General features: G+C 37.1%; 1 protein-coding gene across 6 annotated transcripts in view; it reads left to right on the forward strand.

Moving 5' to 3' along the window:
• ANO6 (anoctamin 6) overlaps positions 1 to 24330 on the forward strand; it is a 224310-nt gene that overhangs the window by 114073 nt on the left and 85907 nt on the right. For all 6 annotated transcript variants that reach the window (NM_001142679.2, NM_001204803.2, NM_001025356.3 and 3 more), the window contains 5 exons: positions 1128 to 1256; positions 16855 to 16920; positions 17861 to 18148; positions 18351 to 18464; positions 20492 to 20607. In NM_001142679.2, the coding sequence (NP_001136151.1) occupies positions 1128 to 1256; positions 16855 to 16920; positions 17861 to 18148; positions 18351 to 18464; positions 20492 to 20607 (713 nt within the window). The remainder of the gene's footprint in view (positions 1 to 1127; positions 1257 to 16854; positions 16921 to 17860; positions 18149 to 18350; positions 18465 to 20491; positions 20608 to 24330) is intronic.

Genomic DNA, 24330 nt, shown 5'->3' on the forward strand with positions numbered 1-24330 from the left:
TCAGATACTGGTAATAAACCTTCATGTGTTCCACAGTGGAAAAGGGGAAAGGAATGATAAATATCACGTTTCATATAAGTATCAAAAAATATGTTTTCAAAAGTGAGAAGAAAAGGAGAAAGTGGTGTGTGGTAAAATTGTGTAGCTTCTGTGCTAATCGATAATGAAGAGGAGAATTAATCACATTTAATGAACACAATGTACAAGTTATACAAATGATTGCAAAATGAAATCTTATCAGTTTTTAATGAATCATAGAAAACTTTTCAGTATCACGTAGTTAAAAAGCAGTCGATTCTTAACAAAATTAACATGAGCATTCTGACAAGCTGTGTGAGAACACAAATTCAAATCATTCCTCAGAGTAAATTAGAACAATTCTATCCAACTCCATATGTTCACAGGTATTTTTGTATTTGGTCTCTGTTCTGCCATCATTTCCTTTTAAACCATAAGGATTTTAAGCTCTAAACTAAAGGCTTCTATATTTTGTTGTTGCTGGTTCTTTTGGTTTTTTAAAATTTGTTTGCTAGGAATGAGGGACATCATTTGTAGATTAGGGGACGAACACCAATGACTAGTGCAGCTTTTGTTTATATGGGAGTATCTTTTGGCATTTGTTTGAAGTTGTCCCATGATACCTTCTATAAAGCGGTGAAGTAAGTCCAAAAAGAAGTCATGAAAAATGGTAAAAGGTTAGAAAATAAGACATAAGAAGGATGAGATTTTCATCAACAGTGCTTTGTCTTAGATTTTTCTTCTTGTTAAATAAACTTCACTCCCTTGGATAGGCAGTTTTTTTTACTATGTTCGTTTTCAATCTTGATATGCCTTTGCTGCTTGAGGTGAAAATAATTCTGGGATGATTGTGTTACATATGTAATATTGACATGTTCTCATGAGTTTATAGAATAATGCTGTACTGTTCAATTCAAATACTTCCTTTCACCAAGAATAGACCATGTTTGCCATGTCAGTCATAGTGGCCATGACTGTTTGGTAAGCTAACTAGTAGTGGATGTATTTCTCTTTCACAATAAACCTATTAAAGCTTGAAAATTAACACTTATAAGTCAGCATTTTTTCAAAAAATTATATATTACAATTTGTTTTTCTGTTTTACACAGGAAGAATTTAATGGAAAACCTGACTCCCTCTTTTTTAATGATGGCCAGCGAAGAATTGACTTTGTTCTAGTATATGAGGATGAAAGCAGAAAAGAGACCAATAAAAAGGGTACAAATGAAAAACAAAGGGTAAGTTTTTATGCTATTTTCCTTTCTTTTTATTTCTTATATTGTAACATGAAAAAACTGCTATTTTGTATAAGTAATAAAGTGAAACTGATGTTGAAATATCATACACAAAACAGTTTCATATTTTCTCTGCTCATGTTTTCTCAAAGCATATTAACAAAACGTTTTTTAAATATGAATCAGAAACTTCCTCAGGCTCTTAACCTCATTTGGTTTCACAGCTGAAAGCAGACTTTCTTTCAAGGAATTGGACTTTCTATTGTACAGAAGAGATTTACCTTAAGCATGCCTGGCTATTCAATTAGGTGGCATAGGAAGCTAATGATTAATAATGACAAGTGTAATAACAACTAGCTTTCAATGTGTGCTCACTCAGGTATTGTACATACATTTGCATACGTGTTCTCCTTTCATACAGCATGAAGTGGGTTCTATAATCACACCATTTTATGGATGATAGAGATGACCCTTAGGTTAGATGAATATACAAGGTCATGGAATCTAGTCTAGCAAGTGGTGAAGCCATGGTTCAAACTGTCTTGAATATGGAGACTGCTCTTGACCTCGCATTTTTCTCTGTTACCTCCCTTTCATTCATTGCATTGCCAGTCAAGCTGCTCTCTTCTCCCTTTCCTTTGCACCAAGCTTTTTTAAGTAAAAGGCCATCTTTATCTCAGGATATTAAAACAGTAGGGCAGGTTTATAAACAACTCCCTGGAACGTTTTTACCTGTACCTAAACTGCATTAAACTAAAACAGACCAAAAAAGATTGCATATATGTGTTACTTTCACCCACTTTAGAAATCATTCCTCATCCTTTTTTTCTTCCCCTTTTCACATATATGTGTGCTCTCTCCCTCTCTCTCTGTTCTCTCTCTCTCTCTCTCACACACACACACACACACACAAAACTTTAATTGTCCCTGTCTAGACTGTCTCCTTGAAATATGCCAACTTTAAATCTATTGATTTTTGCCCATTCTTTCAAATCAAGCGATAAAACCTTTTAAAAAATGAAGTAATCAGTACTGTTTTATTCATCTGTTTGTTTCAGAGGGGGTTAAGTTTGGCATTTTATATTTGCATGGTGGAATAGAATGAGCCCAGACTTTGGAAACTGACCTTCAAGTTCTAATTCTGCCACTCTGTTGGAGTAATTCTAGTTGTAACAAACAAGCTCCCAGATGACAGGGACTTAACACAAAAACAGAGTGTTTATTGTTCACGTCAAGGTCAAATGTAGCATCCCTGTTTGGCACATAGTTTGGGGTTGGGCCTCTGTCCTTTGCAGTTATCAAGAAACCCAAGCCTGACAGAAGCTCTGCCATATTCGCCAGGTAGACTCCCGGGTCATCCCGAATATCAACATAGATAAATGGTAGATAAGATGAAGAAAGTACTCATGCTGCTTTACCACTTTGGCCTCAAAGTAACTACATCAGTTGTGCTCATATGCTACTGGTCAGAACTCAGAAGAGTGGAAAGTATCGTTTCTGGCTGGGTAGCTATGTGACTTAGGCAAATTTTCAAATCAATTTTTTTTTTCTTTTTTATGTTTGACATCTCTAAAATCAGTTGGATCTTACAAATGCTGTATCATAATTTCATTGTTGAATTTTTTCTTATTAATACATAAAATATTGGCTCACCATACAATCAATGGCATCTTAGATTCAGGGAAATTGGATCCTAATACTTAGCCTATATAATTATGGTTAAGATTAAATAAAATAACATATAGATGTTACATAATTTTTTAGCATTATTAGATCATAAATTTTAATTCTTGTATCTTCCCATTTGGGATTTTCTTAAAATAATGCCCTGATATGAAAAGGCATGACTTTCCTGTTATTATACAATTTTATCACTAAAGTAAAACAGCTTAGGGTACTTTAATTTTCCTGTGGACACTAAGATATTTTATGCAGTCATAGTCACCATCATCAAATATTCATTAAGTATCCATATGCCAATGGATCTGGATTGAGCAATATATAAAGTAAGTTAAACAGATCTAATACATTAAAGTATAAAAGAAACAGTTCTGGTTTTAAACAAGAGCTTTACTGCCATGATGAAGGGCCCTAGAGCTGCTTACATTAATCAGTTCTGCATTTGCTTCAGACAGAAACATAGGTCCCAAGGTAACTCTCATAAATAAGGAGGAAAAAAATCATCATTAATTTTGGCAATCCTTGAACTCATGGATTGATATACCTTGATGTTCATTTTTATAAGCTGTGCTTTGAAGTGTTTTCAGACTGTATTTGCACATATTACTTAATTTATATATACTTCACCGAAATTCAAAGCTTAACTTTGGAATCATGTTTTTCTTCATTGGAAAAACATTTGTGAGTTCCATTGTACTCCTTGTCAGGCCTTATTGAGGATTTAGGACAATACCAAGGAAAGGCAATTCAAAATCCTGTTTTCTTTGAAAGAAAAAAAACTTATGTGTAAACCATATTGATTTCCTAAAGCAACCCCAAGCTTGACTTCACCAGAGTTTATCTAAAGGATATTGTTAAACACTTTATAGGGCTGGAGAAAGATAGAAGTGACAGGGCTACAAACACCAAAAACATAGAGTATTTAAAAGGATGTATCATCCTTTGAGCAAAAAGAAAATAATTTTCTAGCCAAACCTCCAAATATCATGTAACTTGGGCCACTCATATGACCAAAAACACTTAAGAAACATACCTTCCTTTAAAAAGCATAAACCATTTACATTTAGATTTTACATGAGGATGATTGTAAGTTGCTTCAGCAACAAACGCTCGTTTAGTCTGTACTGGGCTTGGCACAGAATGTTTGAATGTTTTAAATCACAAATAACAGGAAAACCAAACTCAAAATGGCTTAAATGCTAAAAGGAAATAATTATTTTCTCATTTAAGTAGTCTAGAGATACAGCCATTTCTGGATTAGTTTATTGGCTCAATGAAGTCATTCCATCCTCCTGCTCTGCCATCCTCAATATTTTGGCTCTTAAATTGTCTTCCCTTGATTTTAAGATGGCTGCTGCAACTCCAGGTAGCCAGAGGCAGAGAGAAGGAATGCCCCTTCTCAGGGCTGTTTTTTAAGAGGGAAGAAAGCTCCTCTGGAAGGGCCCTTTGCAGATTTCCTTTCACAATTCATTGTCTGTTACAAGTCTCTTCCTAAATCAACTACTGGAAATATGAATGGAATTATTGCATAGGATTGGTCTTTCATCTCTTGAGTCACCTGATCACAGAATACCTAAAGAACAAGCAGGCTTTTCTTAGTAATAAAGAGGGGAGAATGGCTGTTCCGTAGGCAGCCAGCAGTATCTGGCACAGTAGATGATTAAATATATCTAAATATGTTTGATCCATATTGTAAAGAGCAAAGATGTTTTACATAAAACAAATTCCCATATATTTCTCCAACTCCTCTTGCTCAGTTTTGTTAGTAATTGCTGCTTTCTTCCAGAACTGCTAACAATCGGCAGAACTGATCTTTTGAATTTTGTTTTGTCTGATGCTTGCCTTCAAACCGATGTGTTAGTGACCAAGTAATGGTACAATTCAGATGAGGGTGAAGATGGGGAAGAGGTCTAGGTAGTACAAAAACAGTGGGAACAACCCTGAATATGATTTATTTATTTACTTTAAAAAAATTATCCATTCCTAAAAGTTAATGGAAAATTTATGTCCTTGAAGTTGAAAAGTTTATATATGGAAGTATATATTTGTATTTCATATCTGACCTTAAGAATTCTTTAGTGTATGGCAAAAGGATCTGGCCAGTGGAGACTGTAGGATAGAGAATTTTTTTAAAATTAGTGATCAAAGTTAAATTTATCTAATTATAATTTAATTCAAACTTTCAAATACCGTGAGACAACTAACTGGTTATAGAGCCTGTGAGCTTCTAAAAACTGTTATCCATTGTTTTGGATTAATCATCATGAGACCAGAACAGTTTTCCTAGAGTCTGGATGAGATCTCTTGGGAAATGTTTAAAAACTTACCAAAAAGTTTTACTATGATGAACATGATATATCACTCCTTTTATTGAGATCTACTATCCTTTAAGTAAAGCTTTATAATACAGGTTAAGCATCCCAAATCCAAAATGCACCAAAACGCAAAATTTTTTGAGTGCTGACTTGACGTTCAAAAGAAATGCTTAGTGGATCATTTTGGATTTTCAGATGTGGGATGCTCAGCTGGTAAGTATAATGTAAATATTCCAATTTCTTAAAAAGTCCAAAATTAGAAATACTTCTAGTTCCAAGCATTTTGGATAAGAGATATTCAACCTGTAGTGTCCATGCAGATCTTGTACATTTTTATTAACTTTTTCCAATTACTGAAAATTTTTGTTGCTATTGTCAGAGGCATTTTAAATGCAGTTATGATTTACTGTGTGTAAAAGAAGTCTATTGATTTCTGTGAGTGCTAAGAACCTTGATAAGCTCTTTTTAGTTTTAGTAGTTTCTAATACTATTAATTTTCCCAAATGAAGACCATATTGTCTACAAATGATGACAATTTTGTTCTTTCTTTGCCATATTTATACTTTCTTTTTCTTGTCTGAGTGCAATGGCTATGACCTCTTGAACAAAACCAATACACATAGTAGTCACTATTGTATTGTTCCTGATTTTAATGGGAATGTTTCTAAAATTTCACTATTAAATATTACACTTGCCATACATTTTTGATAGATTTCTTTTAAAAAGTTAAAGGAGTTCCCTTTTAGTCCTAGATTGCTAAGCATTTTTATAATAACTGGGTTTTAAAGCTTATCAAATGCTTTTTCTTATATCTATTGAGGTGATCATATGGCTTGGTTCCTCATTAAGTCTTATGCATATTAAGTATTTGGTTATTTTTGCCTAATAAGATAGTATTATAACTGATAGTATAGTATAACTCAAAGCATTCATTTATTAGCTTTAATATACAATGTGTACTTTTTATAGTTATTAGCACCCTACTTATTTATGTTAATACTACATTAAATTATTTATGTATGGTCATAAGTTGCTTAATGATGTTTCAGTCAACAATGTACCACATATACCATGATGCCTCTTAAGATTGTAACACAGCTGAAAAATTCCTGTTGCCTAGTGACATCATAGCTGTCTTAACATGGTAGTGCAATGCATTACTCACATGTCTGTGGTCATGCTGGTATAAACAAACCTATTAGGCTGGGCTGCTAGTCATATAAAAATATAGCACATACAATCATGTATAGTACCGAACGCTTGTTAATGGTAATAAATGACTATGTTACTGGTTTATGTGTTTACTATACTATAATATATTTTAAAAGTATACTTTTTATCATTATTTTAGAGTATATTCCTACTTATAAAAAATAAATAAAAAAAGGAAGTTAACTGTAAAACAGCCTCAGGCAGGTACTTCAGGAGGTATTCCAAAAGAAGGCACTGTTATCACAGGAGATGACAGCTCTATTTCTGTTCCTGCCCCTGAAGACCTTCCAGTGAGACAAGATGTGGAGGTGGAAGACAGTGATACTGATGATCCTGACCCTGTGTAGGCCTAGCTAATGTGTGTATTTGTGTCTTAGTTTTCAACAAAAAAGTTTAAAAAGTTAAAAATTAAAGATAGAAAAATATTTGCAATAGAATAAGGATATAAAGAAAGAAGTTTTGTACAGCTGTAGAGTGTGTTTGTGTTTTAAGCTAAGTGAGCAGTGTTATAAAGTCTGCAGTAGTGCACATAATGTCTTAAGCCTTCAGGTTCAGTCACCACTCACTTGCTGACTCACCCACAGCAACTTCCATGCCTGCAAGCTCCATTCATGATAACTGCCCTAAACTGGTATACCATCTGTAAAATGTTTATACAGTATTTTTACTGTAGCTTTTCTATATTAAGATACACAAATACTTACCATGGTGTTACAGCTGCCTGTGGTGTTCAGCTCAGTCTCATGCAGTGCAGGATTGTAGCCTGAGAGCGGCAGGCCATTCCATATACCCTAGGTGTATGGTAGGCTACACCTTCTAGGTTTGTGTATGTTCATATGTACACTCTATGGTGTTCACACAAAGATGAAATCACATTCTCAGAACGTATCCCTGTTGTTAAGCAATGCATGAATGAATTTATAATTTATTAAATAGTATTCGATGCTTACATATTGAGTGTAAAAAAAGTTGAATTCATAGAAGTAGATAATAGAATAGTGATTAGCAGGGGCTGGAGGTGAGAGGATGTTGGGGAGATGTTGGTCAAAGGATACAAAATTTTAGTTAGATAAGAGGGATAAGATTAGGAGAACTATTGTACAGCTGACTCTATTTGATAATATATTCTTGAAAACTGCTAAGGAGTAGATTTTAAGTGTTTTTACCACAAAAGTTTGTGACGTGTAAATGCATATGTTAATCAGCTTGATTTTGGCTTCCATTATATATGCATATTTTAAAACATGTTATACATAACATTTTTATTTATCAATTAAAATAAATATAAATGTTAGGAGGGAAGTGGAAAAAAAGTATTTAAGGTCACCTATGGAAATATATCAAGAATGAAAGTAATTAAAGACTAAATCAGGGTAAAAGAAATATAAAAGCCAGAAAAATAAAATGAAGCCATGTGTCAGAGTAATAAAATGATTTATTATCAACCATAAGTTCTTGTTCAGAAGTTAGAGATCAGCTGCAAATTTGCCTCTCAACTTCTTAGTTGCCAAAGAATATAAGAGGATTTTATTAATAACATAATTTAAAGTTTCATCACAATAAAAACAAAACTGGTTGTTCCAAAGCAACACAGTGTTCTGGTAGGAAAGATCCTCCTGAGAAAAATTTGTCTCATGAATCCTCATAAAGAGGAAGGCATGATTGCATAGACTAAAAATTGGCTTACCTTCTTCAAATTGAAGAAATAAAGGGACAGCAGAAGGTGAGGGGCACTATGAGGAATCAGAACAGCGTGGAAAGTTTGCCTGGGAATGACATTTGCAACAGGTAGTTCATGAATTGGAAACTTGAGCCTCATGTTAAGATAGGCTCAGTAAGAGATATGGCAGCCAGTGTTGGGTGGTTTTACTTCCCAGCTAACTTTTGGCAGGTGTTCTGTCTTTTGTTTTAGGGAGTGAAGTCAGATCTATCTTTAGCTCCTAAATATTTTAGACTAAAGCAGGGAGGTCTTTATATTTTTATCTTTTCCCTTGCTTTACAGTCTACTTGTTTATGCTAAGATTGTAGGTAAAAAGGAATAAATTAAATTAGAATCAGCAGTTTCAAATTACAGCTATGAAATGCGTTGCTGGTATAAGCACATTTGGTTTTATTTTTGAGTATTACCACCAAGAGCAATGAATCCAATTCTTGCTTCTTATTTCCAAAATGGGAAGTATCTCTGGGCTGAAGCCTTAAAAACAGAGAGGACAATGAAATTCTGAAAAGCAAGACCTGATTATTCTATTTTATCCTACTGGGGGAATTAACAACGAGTTCACAAAGACATGGAGAAGAGAAAACCCTTTTTCTGATTGCTCCTCCTGAGGTCTGGCTGTAGGTTGAATGAAGAGGCTGTCATTTACCTGGTACCAGCAGGGCAAATGTGTCACCTTTTTAAAAGATCATCTGTAAAGGGGTACAGCAGGATTGGCAAAAATCAGCTATACCAAATTCTCTCATAAAACAGGCTTGACAGGGATAAATCATCACAAAAGAATAGCTGCTTGTGTGCACTTGTACATGCATATATGCACAGAAAAAGGTGTGTCCTAGAAAATAGGATTTACTAAACTTGTCCTATGAGAAGTCACCTGGGTTGCTTGTTAAAAATAGATTGTCCAGGCCCCATCCCATACATGCTGAGTCAGTACTTCCAGGGGAGAGGTTCAAGAATCTACATTTTAAATAAGCTCTCCAAAGTTGTTCCTTTAAGCAGATAAGTTTGGAAAACACTTTACTGAAAAACTTTATTGTACACTTAATTAATAGAATAGTTATCTTGGCAGTGAATTATGGGTGTTTATTTTTTCTTCTTTGAAAATTTGTTTTCTGTGTTACTCAGAATGAGCATTTATTTCTTTTGTGATTTGATTTAAAAGTCGTATTTGGAAGTGAACTTCAGCTAAATATTCACTCCATCCTATGTTTATCATTTAAAATGCTCGTCTGTTTTTTGTCCCCTAGTGAACATACATTACTCAGTTGAGTAAATTCCTCATCAGATCAGTCCACTAACATTAAATGTTTTTATCACCAACACGTGAATTTAAATTAAGTTCTGATTAAATAATGTATTCTGCTTACCAAACCTTCGGGAGAACTAATAAATAGCACAGTAATTAGACTAATTTTTTTTCCACAAATTAAGTACCTATGATGTATTTCTCTTGCGTTTTTGTAGGTTAAAAAAAGATTGGCAAGTTGAAAATACAATGACAGCACCATCAATACTTTGCCTAACAAAGCTATAAGAATATTTGAAATCAATCTATTCATATATTTCATTAATCCCAACTGGTTTCTACTTTATCATCATAGTATATTCATTAATTTTACTACTTAGACATTGCAGTCCCTGCTTTTTACACTGAAAAAGGTGGGTAATAGAAAGAAAATGGTAGATATTTGTGTTTACAATCAGTACTATTACTGTGTAATTCGCAAGTAAGTCCTTCACAACAATGACTTTACTAAGCCAAATGAGATGTGTAATGTGTAATGTGTAATCTAGGGTGCGTAGGGATAGAAAGCTTCCTTAATTATGCCAGTCTGTCCTTTGTGATTTTGATTGCTTTATTCTTTATTTCCCTGACAGCTTTATTAACCTCTCAAAAGAGGTATGAATAAGATACTGGTTTCTGGAGTGTGGCAGGTGCTTTTGTCCTTTTTCACCTTGAACCTCCAGTACCATTCTCCACCATCAGTAATAGAATCACATGCATCATTTTGTGATGTACCTAGGTCCTCAGTGATTACAGTCACTTTGGCTTTACTAGAATTCTAGTAGGTTAAAAAATAAAATGTGGTTGCACTGCAAATGAATTTGCTCCCATAGAGATGTACACATTTACAACACAGGTTAATTTATGACTAGCCTTTTTTGTTTTTTTAGTCAGTGAGCCTCGTTTAAACATTTTATGCTGCCAAATAAAGATCATAGACTATCAGTTTAGGTTCTTATGTATAAGGTTTCCAGTAAGGCACATAGATAATTTTTACTTTAAAATTGTGTGGCCTCAGGTATTCATTTATTCAGCAAATATTTATTGAGCAATGGCTATGTCAGCCAATATGCAATATTAATTATCTTTCATTTTTAACATGGAAGACAGCTCTACCCTAATTTTTTAAATGTCAAGAACACTGTTACTTATCCAAGTGTAAATTCTACAGTGAAGTAAAGATGATTTCATGTTAAAGAGACTTAAGCAATCTTTTCTTAAGTAAGCAGTCCTTTCCTGATATGTGCCTATTTGACAAATATAGCACATATGCTAATTTACTTTAGCTACCTGACAAACCAAGAAAACTGGTTTGATCAATTTTTTAAGTATTCCACTAGTTATTTGTGAATTGCCATGCCAAAAGAAAATAACAAGAACTGTCTTATTAAAGTAACACCAAGGTGATATATTAATGTGTTTAAGCAAATAAAAATGTCCTATCCTTGATACAACTGTTTTAAGTATTTATAGTTGGTGGTAAAATGGAGGGCATTATAAACCAACTCCAAGGTCTACCAATTATCCTGAGAGAAATCAGGTAAATATCTCAGGAGTTCTTTGTAAAGAACTAAAATAGAATAAATTAGTACAACCTTTCTGGAGGGCAGTACAGCAATACATATTAAAGAACTTAAAATTGAATACACTCTTTAACAATTTTACTTTTAGGACCTTATCCTGAGGAAACAATAATGGATGCACAAGATTTTTCATAATAGCAAAAAGGTAGAAACCACCTAAATATCCAGCCATTTGAAATTGGTTAAATAAATAATGGTACATCTCTCTGAGAGAATATTATCAAGCTCTTAAAATGAGATTGAAGGGAAGTATTTCTAGTGTTTTCTGCGTCTATGATATTCATATGTGCTATACATTCTCATCAGTGACCTACCTTATAATAGACATGAGGCAAAAGAGAAGAGACAAAAAGATATGTTCACATCCTTCAGAGAAGGAAAAGATAGATATCCATCAGATATCAAAGAAGGTAGCCTGAAGATCAGGATAGCCAAGTGGTGTAGAAGAGTCAAGGGGGAGTCTAGGTGACTCTCATAGTGTTCCTGTAAAATGACGTACTGGTGTCCCACTGCAGGGACGAAGGGTCATTGGGTGCATGGTGTAGAGGCAGAGTGAGTGGGGTTGCCTGTTTTGTCAGATATTTGGTATTTAAAACAGAGATGAGCCTCTAAGCCCTGCAGAACAGAGAGAATTTCTTTTTTTTTAAGGAATAAGGGAAGTCGAGCATGTTAAAAGGCAGAGAGAAGGTAATGGTGATGGCTGACATATCTACAGCGCTTATCATATGCCAAGCATCATGCCGAGTGCTTTATGCCCATGATCATGCTTAATCCTTAAAACAATCCCAAAATGAAGCTGTTTTTTCCCTCTATCTTTTAGATGAAACTGCTGATGATTATAGAGTTGATTATTTGCCCAAACATCACAGAGCTAGTAAATGGCAGAGTCAGGATTTCCATTTTGACTCTGAATCTAGCCACTATGCCCAGGAGTAACAGGAAAACCAAAACTGCAAGAGCTACAGGGGCTGTTTGTTGGAACAAAATCCGAGAAGAGAGAGTCCCTTGAAGGTGATGAGTTGTAGCCTCAGTTTAGAAACTCCATCAAGAAGGTACATGTCTGACTTGCACTATTCAGCATGTTGCATTCATAGCTGATACAGCTGATACAACCAAGACAGAAATATTTTGTGTTTGGTATGTTTGACAGAACTGCCCTCGTGTGGGGCTGGCTCATTCTGGGCTGTCTAAGCCTCATTCCTTTTGTCATCTGGTAATTCAAATTCTGAAGCGTCCAGGAATCACTTCATGCTGTGGATGCCCCTATGCTCTCTATCTGGTGTTGGTGTACTTCAGAATTAAACTGCATCTCTCTTTCTACACCATGTCCTGTAATAGCCATAAGTAAAAGTACATGGAAAATTTGGGGGGCTCAGAAAATTTGGGGGGCTGCAGTTGCTGCACTGCAGCCATTTACACTCCTTAGTTCATTCCGGCTTAACAGGCAGTCATCGATCCACTATTCACTCAGTTTATTCATTCATCAGACATTTATTGTGTGCTTACTCTGTTATAGGCTTGTTTTAAGTGTTAATGATATCAAGATTAAAAGACACCACTGAAGTAAGGGCAGTAATTGAACAGTAGGCAGGGCCATGGGAGGATTTAATATTCTTAACATTGGGAAACATTTAAGGTGTTTTTTGGCAGAGGAGTAAGAGCAATGAAGAGAAAAATGGGAGGTATTGCCCAAGTAAGCTCAAGAAGAGAGATGAAAGGATAGACTTCTGACACCAAGAAGAGAGGTGGTGCCCAACTACTGATAGGTAGAAAGAAAGAGACTGGCAGGAATTTCCAGTGAGTGGCTGCCCTTTTCTCTGTAAGGAAGGAGGTGAGGTCACTTGCGAGCATGCTGGGCTGGAAGTTAGGTAATGAGCGTAAGGAGCACCTTAAAAGTTTGGAACAGCTCCCTAGTGGATAGCTAGGGGCCAGGAAGGAGACAGCCCAACTGTGATGGGAACCATGAATTTGTAATAAGGCCATTGAACAGAGTTACATGATTTTTTTCCCTACCAGCACTTATTGTTAAAACACTCATCAAGCCACTGGAGAAGACCCTCTTCTGACTGATTCTCCTACTCTTCTAATGAAGACATTTGTCTCCAAGAGCTAAAATTCTTGGGCCTGAGCTTTCACATGCTAACTGAAATTCATGACTGAATTTTAGAGGATACCAAAGACACAGGCATGGATCCTGCTATGACCTGCTAGTGAGACCATCTGGGTTGCCCTTTGTACAGCCTCAGGGTGAGTCATCTCCCCTGAAGGAAAGAATGTCACAGTGTCTGGTCCTTTCAGAATACTCCATCCCTCTACTGTACCATGTTTTAGGTTTTGGTCTAACACGTTTTCCCTAGTTTGCAACCACTCTGTTAGTCAGGATTCTTACTTACCAGTATCATAAATGAGCTGTAATTTAAGCAGATCAGGAGTTTATCAGAAAAATGTTAGAGAACTCACAAATTCTCCTGATGGGTTAGATAAATAAGGTTAGAGATAGGCAGCCAGAAGCAGTACCTTAAATCCTGCCACAGGAGAAAAAGCACAGTTGCTGTCCTGAGCACAGGGCTGCTGCCAGCACCGCTGGCACCACTGACTAGCAGTAGCTATGGACAGCTCCTGCCGTAACCTCTACCATCTCTGGAACTGGCATTTGCTCTCTCAGCCACCCCAGAATGTATTCTGCTTGGCCTGGCTTTGCATCACTAGCATTCAATTTGGAGCCTGGAGCCAGGTAGTCTGGTTGGCGGGGCCTAGCTCGAGTGCCAGTAGCTGAATTTCATGGGAGACCACGAAAAGGAGTGTCTGTGTTTTTATCTGCTATAATGGATGTGGGCTCTTGTAGGAGTTTAAAATGGGTGTCCATAAAGAATGACAGATGTCCATTACAGTGCCAGAAAGCACATGAATAAACGTTTCAGTCATTCTGTATCAGGAGAAAGTCTTAGGTCACTGGATGCTAAGTTTCTCTATATTTCCTCTGTAGCAGACTATTTTAAATTCTTTCAGTCTCCAGTACTTTGCAGGATGCCTGCAAAATAAAAGGCACTCAAGAAATGTTTGTAAATGAACTAATGCTTGTTGAGTATATTCTTTCAACAAATATGTGTTAGGCATTGTATTAGTTGTCACATTGCTATAAAGAACTACCCGAGACTGGGTAATTTATAAAGACGAGGTTTAAATGGCTCACAGTTCTGCAGGCTGTACAGGAGGCCTCAGGAAACTTCCAATCATGGCAGAGGAAGAAGGCACATCTTACATATCTGGAGTCGGAGGACAAGAGCAAAGGGGAGATGCTACAAACTTTTAAACAACCAGATCTCGTGAGAACTCACTATCACAAGAACAGCAAGGGGGGAAATCCGCCCCCATGATTAAATCACCCCCATCAGGCCCCTCCCCTAACATTGGAGATTACAGTTCGACATGACATTTGGGCAAAGACACAAATCGAAACCATGTCGGGCATATACTGGTGAATGCTGTCTGTGGGATCAAAATGCTTTACCCAATAATAAAGAGGTAATCAGTCAGAAATAAGGACTGGGCTCCTATGTAAGAATCAAAATGAGAGGATTAGGATTTAGAGGGAAGGAGTACTGCTTAGATAAGAAGTAGAATGAATCTGAGTCAACTTTCAAGTTCAAGTTGGGAATATGGTGGGTCAGGGGTGGAAAGTGCTGAAGAACTTCTCAGGATGAATTGCGGAGCTGGTGGGGAAGGGGACACCCAGAGGGAACAGTCACTTTTGGGGAGCGGAGTAGGAAAGCTATACCTCAAACTCTCCTTACCCCTATCTGAGTGGGGCATTTCTAGGCCATTTGCTTGTGTTTAGGGAAGTTATACCACTTGCTGGTTTCCTCTGCTACTCTATTGTATGTTCAAATTGCAGCCAATAGTTAAATGTACTATATCTGAACAGCTCTTAGAACAGTGTCTGGCATGTTTTAAGTACTGTACAACCATTTATTAAAGATATAAAAACAAAGCAATATCCTTTTTCTGATACTTCAACACAATACATCAGGGATTCCACTTGGACTCAAATGTAGCCAAATACCAGGTATATTCTTTTACTTTTTGACCTTTGGTCTTTTTCCTGCAGCTTCACCTACTTCTAGTTTATGGGATTTTTTTTATGTTCTAGGCCCTGTGCATAGCACAGCAACTCATCCCCACTCTGTCCCTTTAGAGTGGGCAGATCATGAGTATTGTTCCCTGGGTAAAGTGTCTGACTGCCAGACCCACTAGATGATCTCGACCTGGACCTAGCAGTTCCTCTCTGTCTTGTTAACTGCTGTGCTAAATATTCCACCCAGCGTTTTCAGCTGTCTTCAGTGTAAGGCTTGCCCCAAGTTACCTTTTGTCACTATTGGAAATGAAAATTCTACTTCATGTGCTTTATGTAGTTTAAATCATATCTTCACAAGACCCTAAAAAGGAAACAAGTGGGTTTTCTTAGTTCTACAGATGAAGAAAAATGAGGCATGGAGAGTTTAATTTTCTTGTCATGGGTCATAGAGTTGATGAATAATAAATCAGATTTTGAACCCAGGAAGTGTGGTTACAGAGCTCATTCTGGTCCATTTTGTGCTGCTGTAACAGAATTCCACAGACTAATTTATAAAGAACAGAAATTGATTGGCTCACAGTTCTGTAGGCTGGGAAGTCTGAGATCAAGGGGGCTGGCATCTGGTGAGGACTTTGTTGCAGTGTCACCCCCACGGTGGTGGGGGAGAGAGAGGTGGTAGGGAGAAACAAAAATGGGGCGGGGGGGTTAGAAACAAAAGGGGGCCAAACTTTTATAAGGAGCTCATTCCATGCTAATAAACTCCCTCCTGTGATAATGTCATTAATTTGTTAAGTCTGCCCTTGTGGCCTGATTACCCTTCAGTAGGCCCCACCTCTCAACACTGTTGCATTGGGGATTAAGTTTCTAACATGATTTTTGGGGGACATATTTAAACCATAGCAGAGCTTGTGTTCTTAACCTCTGTGTCTACTCATTTTCTTCATTTCACAAAGCAGTATAAACTGTTTTGTCATGAAAAGCATTCTTTTTAAAAGGTCAAACAAGTCTCCATCTTTGCATGCTTCCCTTACAACTTTGGGCACAGCTTGGCAAAAGCCTAGGCATCTAGAATTTAATATCCATAAGTGTAGTATATTCTGTATCTTTTGAAATGGCCATGTAATATAGATATCAATTTAGTTCACTATTTTTATGGATTTAGACATAGCTTCACAAACATCTCAGTCTTGCAGAGAGAAAAAAATTATCTGAATTTTGCCAAAATTGCCTGTGTTGTTTTATTGAATTTGGTCAAGATATGCAGGGATGACGCATACACATCCAGTAATTGAACCATTTGAATGTCTGGTATGGAAACCAAATTTTTAAAATCTGGAATCTTCAACTCTGAAAACTCGTATCAGTGAATAGGACTCAGAAAGCTCAATTTGTATGCTTTTATGAGCCAAAAAGTACGTGGGATTGTGTCAAAGCAGGATACTGTTATTTACCTCAGATGACTGAAACCACACCAGGACAGCCAAGGGCCTTCCAGGGTGCCAGGGCATCGAAGTACCCTCCACGGCATTCTCTTGGGGATCCAACACTTACATGTCACCAGCAGCAAGAGCTGCTTCATTTCTTCTATTCCATTTGCTTGACCAAATGCTGATGCATTTCTTTTTCAGGTCCACGCTAGTTTGATTTTGTTATTAATATTGTTTTAAAAAATGCCTTTTTCTGCCTTTGGTAAACTAAAGGTCTAACATATATTCCAACTTCTTTTGACAGAGGAAAAGACAAGCATACGAATCTAACCTTATCTGTCATGGCCTGCAGTTAGAAGCAACAAGATCAGTAAGTACTGGTCCCTTTTCAGCCCTCGGCTGACCACTGTTCTCGGGCAGCTTCGTGCCACTTGGAATACTTGGGTGACATTGGAAACATGCAGCCCTGGCCACATCTTAGTCATAGACTGGGAGAGGAGTCAATCAAAATCTGCATTGTGTAGGATGTATTCTTTTTTTCTGATCAAAACTAGCAGATCTTTTTTAATAGCCAACGAATTTTACAATGAATGCATGTATGAATGATTATTTTCTTTCTTTAAGAAACTTCTAAAAGCTTTTTTGTTATACAAAAAATAGTTTATGGTAAAAAATTAGAAAACATAAGAATAAGGAAAATAATCTGTATCTTAATTATCCATAAATAATTTTGCAGTCCTTCTGAGCTGTTTTACTCAAAAATATATATGTACACATTTTTTATCTTTCAAAAAGGAGAAAATTACCACTTCACAGTTTTATAATTTGCTTTTTCCCTTTAATATATAGCAAATGGATTTATGTCAATAAATATAATTCTTTGACATTTTTAACAGCCACATAATATGATATTGAACAGATAGACAATAAGTTCATTCGAGGTTTAGAAAATTAAAAATTTTTCATTATGCTAGCACTACAATGAATATTCTAGTGTTTTTACTTTAAGTCAATAATTAGGGTAGAGTGATAGACAAATAAGTTTGGTTTTCTTCATTTTATAAATTATTTTCATAGTTTTATGAACTATGATGATTTGAATTACTTCCTTAATGATTCAAACCAAGAAATCGTCTTTAAGACAAAAATTTATGATGGTTTGCAAATCTGTTTTTATTGTTATCTTCACTTTTAGTGGTGGTCTCTGTATTGTTTTTTTAAAGCTACCAACAACATAAGAAAAATCTATGTGTTTTAAAATTGTGAAAAGAGTTGGTTTCTTGTTCTGCGTTTTTATTTTTCCAATATAGGTATTGGATGACAAGCTTGTATTTGTAAAAGTACACGCACCATGGGAGGTGTTATGTACGTATGCTGAGATAATGCACATCAAATTGCCTCTGAAACCCAATGATCTGAAAAACCGGTCCTCAGCCTTTGGTACACTCAACTGGTTTACCAAAGTCCTCAGTGTAGACGAAAGCATCATCAAGCCAGAGCAAGAGTTTTTCACTGCCCCATTTGAGAAGAACCGGATGAATGATTTTTACATAGTTGATAGAGATGCTTTCTTCAATCCAGCCACCAGAAGCCGCATTGTAAGTCTAAACCAAATTTAGTTGCTGTCTTGGGGTAATTTGGAACCTGCTGTTTTGTGGTTTGGTTGGTTTGGTTTTATTTTTAAAAACTGCACAAAAAGAAAAGAAATATGCCAGCAGATTTGTGTTACAGTAGTAAACAATGATTGGATTGGTTAATTACACTATATAAACCGCATACTCTATTTTGGAATCTTTTTAGGTTTACTTCATCCTCTCTCGGGTCAAGTATCAAGTGATAAACAATGTTAGCAAGTTTGGGATCAACAGACTTGTAAACTCTGGGATCTACAAGGCAGCTTTCCCACTCCATGATGTAAGTTAAAAGGCAAAAATGAACTAAAAGGCCTTCTGTATACTCTGGTGTTGACAATAGCAAAGGGCTAACTTTCCTGACTGTAAGTTTCTTCCTCAGTAAAATGAAGGGAACATACTGCAAGATTACAAGCTCATTTAGGGTAAGAACTAGGTCTTTTGTTCACAGATGGATCCCAGTTATAAAGATACTCAGTTTTAAAGGAGCGAATGAATGAATGGACAGGACCTCTCTCACAGTTAATGTGTAAAGCAGTATAGATTAGCAGTTAATCTGTGTTAGCATTTCTGAGACCAAAATGCCTGCCCTGCCACTTTCTAGCTGGATGACCTTGTGAAAGTCATTTAGCCTTTCTTCCTCCATTTCCTCATCAATAAGCTGGGGATAAATTATTACCTACCTCCTAGAGTTGTTAAGAGGATTAAATTAATCCATTAAATTAATCCAAATGTTAGTCCCTAGCATATAATAAATACTATTATAAGTGTTAGCTGTTTTCATAATTACTAACAGATGTTATTATCAACCAGAAAAGATTAGTTCTTTGTCAGCAAAATACATGTTAGACCTTCTCATTTATCATTTTCTGCAACATAGACTTTTCTTCCTCATTTGGAATACGATTTTCAAACTGTCCCCTGGAATATCCCTGGGCTTTTAAAAAGGCATCTGTCAGGGTTGTTGTGACAATGGCAGTACCCCAGATGGTTGACATTTTTTTAAGGACTACATTCTGAGACCACAGCAACCCCTCAAATTCAAGAGTACTTCTCTAGCCGAGAACATCTCTCGTGAAATGAAATTTTTAAAATGTGACCACTGTAAATGCAGGGACATTATAACTAAAGCTGTTTAAACTCTGTCATTGAAATAAATTAAATACTATATTATATTGCATTATTACTTTGTTATATTCACTATCAATTTATCTGACTGTGTAAGACCAAAGAAAGTAAAGACTGAGATTGGTAATTGCTACTGTGTAGTACATGTATTTGTGGATAGAGACGATATTGAAATGTACTGAATAACATAATAAAACTAGGACACTAAACAGCAGCTTGATACACATGGAAAAGTAGAGAACAGGGAGCTGGGTGAGGTAAATACTGATCCTAAGAGACCCAATGTAGCCATCCAGCCTGAGAGTCCATGTGTTTTACTTTTGTGCCCCACTGAATTTAGCTAATTGCGAATAACAGGACATGAATTTTGAGGCCACTTGCAAATAGCTGTCACGAATATTAATTTGGGATGCCAGGGTTCTCTAACAGTTGACATTTGCTTTTGGCCATGTCTTTTCCACTAAAGCCTCTTCTAATTGCAGTGGTCCTGTATTCAGGCTAACAAATGGTCCCATGTGGTATTTGAGAGGGAGGTGTGTGAAGGTCAGGGCCTGTGCCCTGATTTGGCTGGGTGGTAATCTGGTTCTAGTGCCAGAAGAAGAAAAATGAGTCAGAAAAAAAGGCAACTGGATTTAAGCAGGAAGTTTTGTTTCTTGAATAAGCTAAGTGTGTAACATGATACCCAGCTTTATTGTTTGTTTTCTGTATGTTATCACAGAATAACTGCTGAACTGGGGGCAAAGAAGCCTAGGTTTTAGAATTGACCCTGCTGCTAACCAGCCAAGGCCTTGGTTTCCCCATTGTCCAAGGAGAGGGGTGGGTTATCACGTGTTCCTCTGGTGTGGTGATTTGGGCACTTGGGTGGCCCAATTTTTCATTGTGTAGGACTGCCCCACTTAAAGCATTTTAAGCATCTCTGGGGCCCTCACAGAGTCCCTGCAGTGCTCCCCAGGATTGTAACACCCAATCGTTCATCCCTGCCCACATTCATAAATGACCCCCAAGGAGGGTAGTACCATGCCTGGTTAAGAATCACTAAAAATTAGATGGTATTTCCACCCTTTCCAGAAGGTGAGGACCCCTTGTTCACAATTGACTATCAAGTATTTGTATCACATTTAAGAAGCAGATTTGTGAAAACACGATGATTATGGTGCTTACATGTTCCCTTCTGCGTCACAGTGCAAATTCCGCCGTCAGTCAGAGGATCCCAGCTGCCCTAATGAACGGTACCTTCTGTACAGAGAATGGGCTCATCCTCGAAGCATATACAAAAAGCAGCCCTTGGATCTTATCAGGTGAGGGGTTGTAGGGAGTACTCCAGGGGGAGGCACTCAGGGTGTTACCCCCACAGCATCTGAATGTGACAGTACTCATCAAGACTCTTGCCAGTGAAGGGAGCTGACCCAGAGTGCTGAGCTTCGTTGGCCAGGGTTTTTATTGAGGCTTAATTATGTGGGCATGATTAATTGAATCATTACCCATCTCCAGTATCATCCTCCCCCTGGAAGATGGCCAGTAATATGTGGCTCAAAGCTCCAGTTCTCCAATCACATGGTTGATCTTCTGGCATGGCCAGCCTCCACCCTGAGTCATCTCATTAGCACAAACTCTCTAGAGGTCCACCATGAGCCACTTCACTGGCATAAACTATCAGGCGTAGTCCTAGGGTCCCACTGTGAATAAAAAGGCACTCCTATCTCTCAGGAAGTTCCAAGGGTTTAGAGGTTACCCACCGCCCAGGAACTGGGATGCAGACCCACCAAATTCCATATTGCACAGAAGTAAATGTTAGATGTAGTTTCTATTGTATGGTAAGACATGTACATTTTCACTCTTTTCTTATGTCTGCCTCTAGGTTCTATTTCGTTGTATCTCACAAGATACAATGACTAGCTCAAGAGTTTTTCTTCCCAAGGTACCCTGTTGGTTTTCCTCCAGAAGCTTACGTTGTTTGGGCAGGGCTGAGGATTCTGGCTTGTGGGAGATAGACCAAGAACACCCAAACAAGCCAATAAAACATGAAAATAAATAAACAGAATTTCTAATGGAAGTGAAGAAAATAACAGAGCAATAGGATGGGAGGGCAGAGTGGGAAGTGAGTTGAGGGAGTTATCTTTGAGGAGGTGACTTTTAAGCTGAGATCGGATAGTGAAGAGGAGCCAGTGCTTTGAGGACTTGGCAGAAGTCCTTCTAGGAATAGGGGCAGCTTGTACAGTGGCCCTGAGATGCACACACATTTGGCAAGTTTGAGGAAACATCAGAGACCAGTGCTAGTGAGAAACAGAGCAAGACATGAAGTTAGAGGGGTGGCAGGAGCGCCGAAAAGAGTTTAGACTTTAATTGCAGTGAGAAGCAGTTGTAATATTTTAAATGTTTAAGTCATTGTATCCTATTCACGTTTTGCAGATAATGTGGAGAATGGATTATAAGGGGTACAGGGAGCAGGGAGACCACTAGGTAGGAGGCTGTTTGAGCCAGGCAGAAGACTGTGGGAGCAGATTTGGGATGTGTTTGGGGAGTCGGGTCGACAGGACTTGTTTATGGATTGGATGTGGAGAGTGACGAGGAGAGGAGAGTTAACTTCATGTCTGTCTGGAGCCACGTACCTGTTTTTTTATGGTGTCTCAACACCCCATGCACTTGCCACCTACTTGAGAAAACTACTAGACCTTAAAAGTGAGAGTTTTAAACAAATGAATGTTTGTTTTGTTTTACATTTACCGTGGGAAATTTTAAATATATACAGAAATAGAGTATCATAGCAAGCCTGCATTCATCTGTCACCCAGCTCCAAAAATTATAAACTCATAGCTAATCTTGTTTCACTTTTACTCCCACTTCTTTCCCTCCCCACTCCACTGGATCATTTTGAAGCAAATTCCAAATGTCACGTCGTTTCATTAGCTTCTATTTCTAAATAAGGTGTCTCTTAAACATAACCAGAATACCCCCTTTTGAAAAGGAAGGCTGGGTGAGATGACTCATTCCTCTAATCCCAGCACTTTAGGAAGCCAAGGCAGGATGATCGCTTGAGGCCAGGAGTTCAAGGCCAGACTGAGCAGCATAGTGAGATCCAGTCTTAAAAAAAAAAAAAAAAAAAAAAGCCAGGCACGATGGCTCTCACACCTGTAGTCCCAGCTACTCAGGAGACTGAGAAGGGAGAATTGCTCGAGTCCAGGAGTTTGAGGCTGCAGTGAGCTATGATTGTGCCACTGCACTCTAGGGCAACAGAGTAAGACCCTGTCTCCAAAAAAAAAAAAAAAATTATTTAATATCATCAGATAATCAGGATTCAGATTTCCCTTATTGTCCCCAAAAAAACTTAATGGTTTTTTAGTTCAAAGCAGGATCCAAACATGGTCAAGAGGTTGCAGTTAATACAATCTCTCAAATTTCTTCTGGTCTCAGTTTCACTGTTTATTTCTTGTTTTCCTTGCTCTTGTTGAAAGAATGCCTTTCATTCCCTATTTTGCTGATTTCATTCTCTCCTGTGGTGTTGTTGAACATGTTCCTCTGTATTTGCTATAACTAAGTAATTTGTGTAGTTGCATTAGCTAAGTAGTAATTGGATCCTCATCTAGAAGCTTAATCTGATTGAGGTTAGATTTTATACAAGAATACGTGATACGTGGAGTTGAGTACTTATATCAGAAGGTATATAATGTTCAGTTGTCTCTTTTGTTATGATAGCAGCTATCAACGATCATTACTTAGATTCATTATTTCATAAGAGATTTCATTATTTTATATGGTCATACTCGGATTCCCTTGTCATTCATTTTTATCACCGAGATTACAGTCATGAAGAGGCACTTTCATTAACTCTGTTTACCCTGTAAAATAAGATTTTAAAAGATATTTGTACATATGTAAATATTTGAGGTTGACATTCATGTGAAGTTTCCATTTTATTAATTTCCTTTTATGTTAAACCAATAGCATCTGATAACAGAGTGATGGGTTCTTAATCATTTTTTATGTGCTCTTTTATTTTTTTTGCTTTAGTAAAGAAAACTTCCCAACTATTTTAAATATATTTTGCTAGAGGAAATGCATTTACTATCCCCTGTCCCTGGTCCACATGTTCTTTCCCTTCATTGCTTCCCACTAGTAACCCCTTGAGCATTCAGGCTATTAAACCTCATCTATGGTTCCCAGGGATTACTGAAGGGAAAATGGGCTCTTTCCATTTTGTTCCCAAAAAGCAAACCAAACTGGAAACAGCAACCTAGGGGAACCAGACTTTGCACAGGTAAAAAAGAAAAGTTTCCCTCCAAACTCCCGTTTTTACCTCCAGAGTAATAAAAGAAAATAGGGTATTCACAAGACAAGGGCAGGGTCCTATAAAAAAGGATTGTTGTGAGAATAAAATCTAGCTCTTGGAAACTGAAAATGTGATTAGACAGAAAAACACCAATAGAACGCATTAGAAAAATGAAGTTGAAGAAATTATGCAGAGCATAGAGCAAAACTTATAAAGGGATAGAAAAGGGGGAAAAGATAAAAAATTAGATCAGTCCAGGCCGGTACAATGTATAAATAATAGGATTGTGAGAAACCAGGGGAGAAAAAATGTAGGGAAGAAATCTGAGAAGTACTTCCAGAGAAGTATCTGAAGAACTGAACATCATGAGTCTCTAGGTGGAAAGAGCCTGCTGAGTACCCAGCCTAGAGGATGAAAATAGAGCCACTGAGTCACTCCAACACAGCAGCTCAGAACGCTGGGGACAAAGCAAAGATCCTGCTATCCTTTGGAAAGCAAAATGAAAAGAAAATCATACAAAGGATCAAGACTCAATAGCATTGTGCTTCTCAATGACACTACACACTGAAAGACAGCAGTAACTTCACATGTCTAAGGAAAGTTTGACCATATATATGTAACTCTATGTATGCTCAAACTGTTAAGTATGAGGAATTTTCACAGTTTAGATGTGCAAGGTAATGGAGGAGGTGCTCCACCAAGAAGGAAGACCTAAGAGTTAGTAAACAGGAAATGCAGGAAATGCCAGCACAAG

Source organism: Homo sapiens, chromosome 12 (genome assembly GCF_000001405.40).
Source record: "Homo sapiens chromosome 12, GRCh38.p14 Primary Assembly".
In the NCBI taxonomy this organism is placed as follows: domain Eukaryota; kingdom Metazoa; phylum Chordata; class Mammalia; order Primates; family Hominidae; genus Homo; species Homo sapiens.